This window comes from Homo sapiens, chromosome 2 (genome assembly GCF_000001405.40).
Source record: "Homo sapiens chromosome 2, GRCh38.p14 Primary Assembly".
NCBI classification, from domain to species: Eukaryota; Metazoa; Chordata; class Mammalia; order Primates; family Hominidae; genus Homo; species Homo sapiens.
Window position 1 is genome coordinate 129,618,564 of NC_000002.12, and position 4,382 is coordinate 129,622,945.

General features: G+C 45.1%; 1 annotated feature.

Annotated features, from left to right (window-relative positions):
• Nucleotides 835-1,365: an enhancer, noted in NCBI's record as "OCT4-NANOG hESC enhancer chr2:130376971-130377501 (GRCh37/hg19 assembly coordinates)". NCBI's record gives its function as "activates a minimal SCP1, AML or CMV promoter by ChIP-STARR-seq in naive H9 embryonic stem cells {active_cell/tissue: H9 hESC(naive)}" and the evidence as "EXISTENCE:reporter gene assay evidence [ECO:0000049][PMID:30033119]".

The window sequence follows — 4,382 nt, forward strand, 5'->3', positions numbered from 1 at the left end:
ACTCACTTGGCCCCTTTTAGTAAAAGCCTTTATATACTTGCTTTGTCAAAAGTATGCTGCCATGTCTCTATTCCAACCATCCCTGAGCAGTTTCATTTTAGCGAGTGCTCCTTCATTTGAGAGGAGTGTGTCTGTAAGTGGTCCCAAGAGTACCATATCTTGCCTTCTCTTGCATAAGCCACCGCCTTGCCTTGGAGGGTCTCTCTGGGCTCCTCCAAGTCATCCTCTGGGCGGGGAATGTGGCCATCGACCACGGGGTGCCACAGCATCTAGAGTCTGGGGAGTATTCTGTGCTCCCACCTTAGTGGTGAGTCTGGAGTCACAGATCTTCCAGGAGTAAGAAACTGCCCAATAATTGTGCATTTCTTTAGGTATTAAACACAGCCATGCAATGTGCAGCCTCTTTGTCTTGGGGGTGCTGTGCCTTCTCCCCTCTGGCGATGCACAAGGTCCTTGGAGTTTCAGCATATGCCTGAGGGATGCATTGATGCTGGATGGGAGACAAGGGTCTCAGGGACCCACTGGTGCCTAGAGTCATCAAGGCACACAGCCCCATGAGGCCAGGAGCCCCAAAGGGGAAGCTGAAAGGGATGCTACTAGGGGAGCATCTAGTGCCAAAACATCAAGCTAACCTGGATCTTTCCATCATGCACCCGAGTGTCACCTGAGGTGGGAGGTCCCAGTGCTGAGAGAGGGCGTAACACTTGAAGCAACTGAGAGATGTTGGGGGAACGGGAGCGGAGTTTTTCTTATTTACCATCTACTCAGAATGTTCCTCTGGCACATGGGTAGCATTATCTTAGACTAGTCTCCATTTTCCTCCCCAGCAAAGTAATCATCGAGAAGCAAAACAAAAAACCAAACAAACAAACAAAAAAAGAAACAAAAACAAAAAACACCTCTCAATATTCTACGTGTCAGAGTGATTTTTGTTTTGTCTCAACTTTCCCCAGGAGTACTGAAATGGGATCCTGGCTCTGGTAACAGGGAGCAGGTGCCTAAACTGCTTTGCGCCTGCAGGAACACCAGGCATTCAACAGGCACTTAATGAACACCTGCTGGTCACTGGTTGAGTTCTGCTTGAAACACCTGGCAACAATCCCAGGAAATGGAGCAAGGGCAGGAAATGCCTTTGCAAACCCAGAACGCCACTGATGTCTTGAATGTCTGGCAGTCACTGAGCTCATGGCCAAGCAATCTCAACGAAGCACGGGGCTCAGGAAAGGAGGACATCCAGGGGCTCAAGGACCTGATGCAGCCTTGCTCCTGAGTGTTTTATCTCAATGTCCCTTTATATACATTTGCAGCTTTATGCAATATGGCCTCATCGAGGTCTGTGTTAATATGATCATCACACCACAGAGCATGCAATGAGTATAGGTAGGGTCAGAGGATTTTGAGGGTGGGATGGGGGTGAAAATTCTGCAAAACTCTGGGGTTCTAGTAAGAAATACTTGGGAATAAATTCTTCCATGACACCATGATCGGGTTCAAGAGGCAAGACTGCAGTCCTAGATATGGAGAGATGACAGCCTTCCTGCCTCCTTCACTGCTGTAGGGTGGTGAAAACAGAGGGCAGCCCCCTCAAAAATGCCTGGTCCCTCTGCATAAAGGAGAACATGGCAGGTGGAGGGGTTGTGGAAAGGGTGCCTGCCCGGCATCATTCTGACCTTGCAGGATGGGCACTCTCACAGGATGAAGCACAGGAGTTGGGGATTTAGGGTCTATAAACGAATTTTCTCTCTTTTATAAGGGGAATAAGCCTTACGGGATTGTTCTGAAGATGACATGAGATCATATAAAAAAGTGATTAAGATGGTGGCTGGAACACAATCACACCAAAGACATGTGAGCCCTTGTTTTCACACTCCCTGTTTTATAAATGACAATTCTGAGGCTCAAAGTAAGAAGCCGAGCAGCATCCAGAAAAGCACTGACTCAACCAGATCTGCCTATTCCAAAAGCCCATGTCTTTACCCACCACCCTGCTTCCAATCACAGCACAACACAGTGACAGCGAAGGCATCTGAACTCAGAGGGCATTTCCGCCAGCTCAACAAATATTTCAAGCTTATTTAGCATGATGAGTCTTGCTCTTTGTTTAGTGTAGATATGCTAGAATTAGCAACATTAAAGCAATTATCTGTGAAATTATCCCCAAATTATATTAGCATGCCCATAGAACAGTATTTTGCATGTAAATTGATAGCAGGTAAGTTCAACAGAACTGCCTTTAAAATGAGTCCGAGGAATCCATAATGAGTGACTATTTATTTTAGCGGTTCTGAAACTACGCAATGTGTGTGCAACTACCAAAAGCATCAGAAAGAAGGAAAAGAAATCTTCCTACAAGCCAGCTGCTTACTAAAAAAATACATAAATAATTCCCTGAAATTCCCACTGCTTCAGTTTTAGGAACAGGCACTCTTCTTTACCATCTTTACCTGTACTCCCTCATGCTGTGGTCACTTGCTATCCAAACATAGCAGACATATCCAAACATAGCATACATAGCTGAAGCACCCCTCATTAATTTAAGCCTAAAAGTGCATTCGAAAGTCCATCCTCCTGTGTGATTGTAAGGATGATGCACTGGTCACTTTGGCATCTGAACCAATAGGGAATGTAGAGGAAACATGCTCGGGACACGTCAGAGGTGCTGGCCAGGCAGGCTTGCTGCAGTCTCTGCTTTGCCAGTGCAGCGCCTAAGACCAGGTGTGGCAGGTGGGGACGGTAGAGTCGATAGGAACATCCTCCATAGCCTTCTCCATAGTACTGGTATTGCCCTTTGCAATTTGTATCAATTGCTATGTTGATCCTTGCTATGAGGTGAGCAAGAAATCTGAGGCCCAGAGTTTAAATGACTGACTCCAAATCTCCCTGATATGGGGGATGGAGCTGGGATTTGACCACAGATGTACTAAATCTAACTCTATATTTCCAGTATGAAGAGGCCTCAGAGCTTATTCAATCGAACTCAGTGTCTGGCGGAAAAATCCCATGTATAGTAAAGTGAGTGTAAAAAGGCGAACAACAGCAAGTGTTGAGAGAAAGTAGAAAAGGGAACCCTGGCACACTGTTGCTGGGAAAGTACATTGGTGCAGCCATCACAGAAAGCAGTTTGGAGTTTCCTTAAAAAAATAAAAACACAACTACCTTATGATCCAGCAATCCCACTGCTGCACACATACCCAAAGGAAATGAAATCAATATGTCAGATGAATGGATATAGAAAGTGGGGTATATATACACAGTGGAATATTATTCAGCCTTAAAAATAAGGAAATTCTGTCATTTGGGACAACACAGATGAACTTGGAGGACATTTGGTAAAATAAGTTAGATGCAGAAAAACAAATACTGCAGGATTTCACTTATATGTGGAATCTAAAAGCATTGAACTCACAGAAGCAGAGTGGGATGGTGGTCACCGGGGGCTGGAGGTATGGTGGGTAGATGAGGTGGGGAGCAGGGGAGTGGAACTGGGGATATGTTTGTGAAAGAGTACAAACTTCCAGTGATGCAAAATGAATACATGCTCAGATCTATTGTAATGCATGGTGACTCTTGTTAATAATACTGTATTGCATAGTTGAAAATTGCTAAAAGAATCGATGTTTTTACCACAAAAAATAAGCATGCAAGGTGGTAGATAAGTCAGCTTGACTTAATCATTTCCCAATATATACATATATCAATACATGAAATCATACACTATAAATGTATAAAATTTTTATTTGTCAATTATACCTTAGTAAAGTCAGGGTAACCATGAGAGAAAACAAGTAAAATTAAATGCATTGCATTCCATTACATTAAAAAGTCAGCATGGGCCAGGCCCAGAGGCTCCTGCCTGTAATCATAGCACTTTGGAAGGCTGAGGCAGGAGGATCGCTTGAGACCAGGAGTTTAAGACCAGCCAAATCAATAGAGTGAGACTCCATCTCTACAAAACTAAAAATAATTAGCTTGGCATGCTGGCACATGCCTGTAGTCCCAGCTCCTTGAGAGGCTCAGGGGGAGGATTGCTTGAGCCCAGTTCAAGGCTGCAGTGAGCCATGATCACGCCACTGCACTCCAGCCTGGGTGACAGAGCAAGAACCTGTCTCCCAAAAACAACAACAACAAAAAAAAGAAAACAAATTGAGCATAGTAAGTAATTGAATACTGGTTGGATAAAGAGTGAGACAAATGGTCTGACCTAAAAGAACTCTAGTTCCAGCAGGGGAGAAGCAAGAGGACAAAGAAGAAGAGGGTGGCTTGGTGTGGGCTGCAGGCAGCGGGTGTCTCCATAGAGTGAAGCAGGGGACGGGGTCGTGGGCATCTGAGGGAGACTGCGAGGCTTCAGGGAGAACATGGCACCCAAGGTGTGCCCCAGAGGA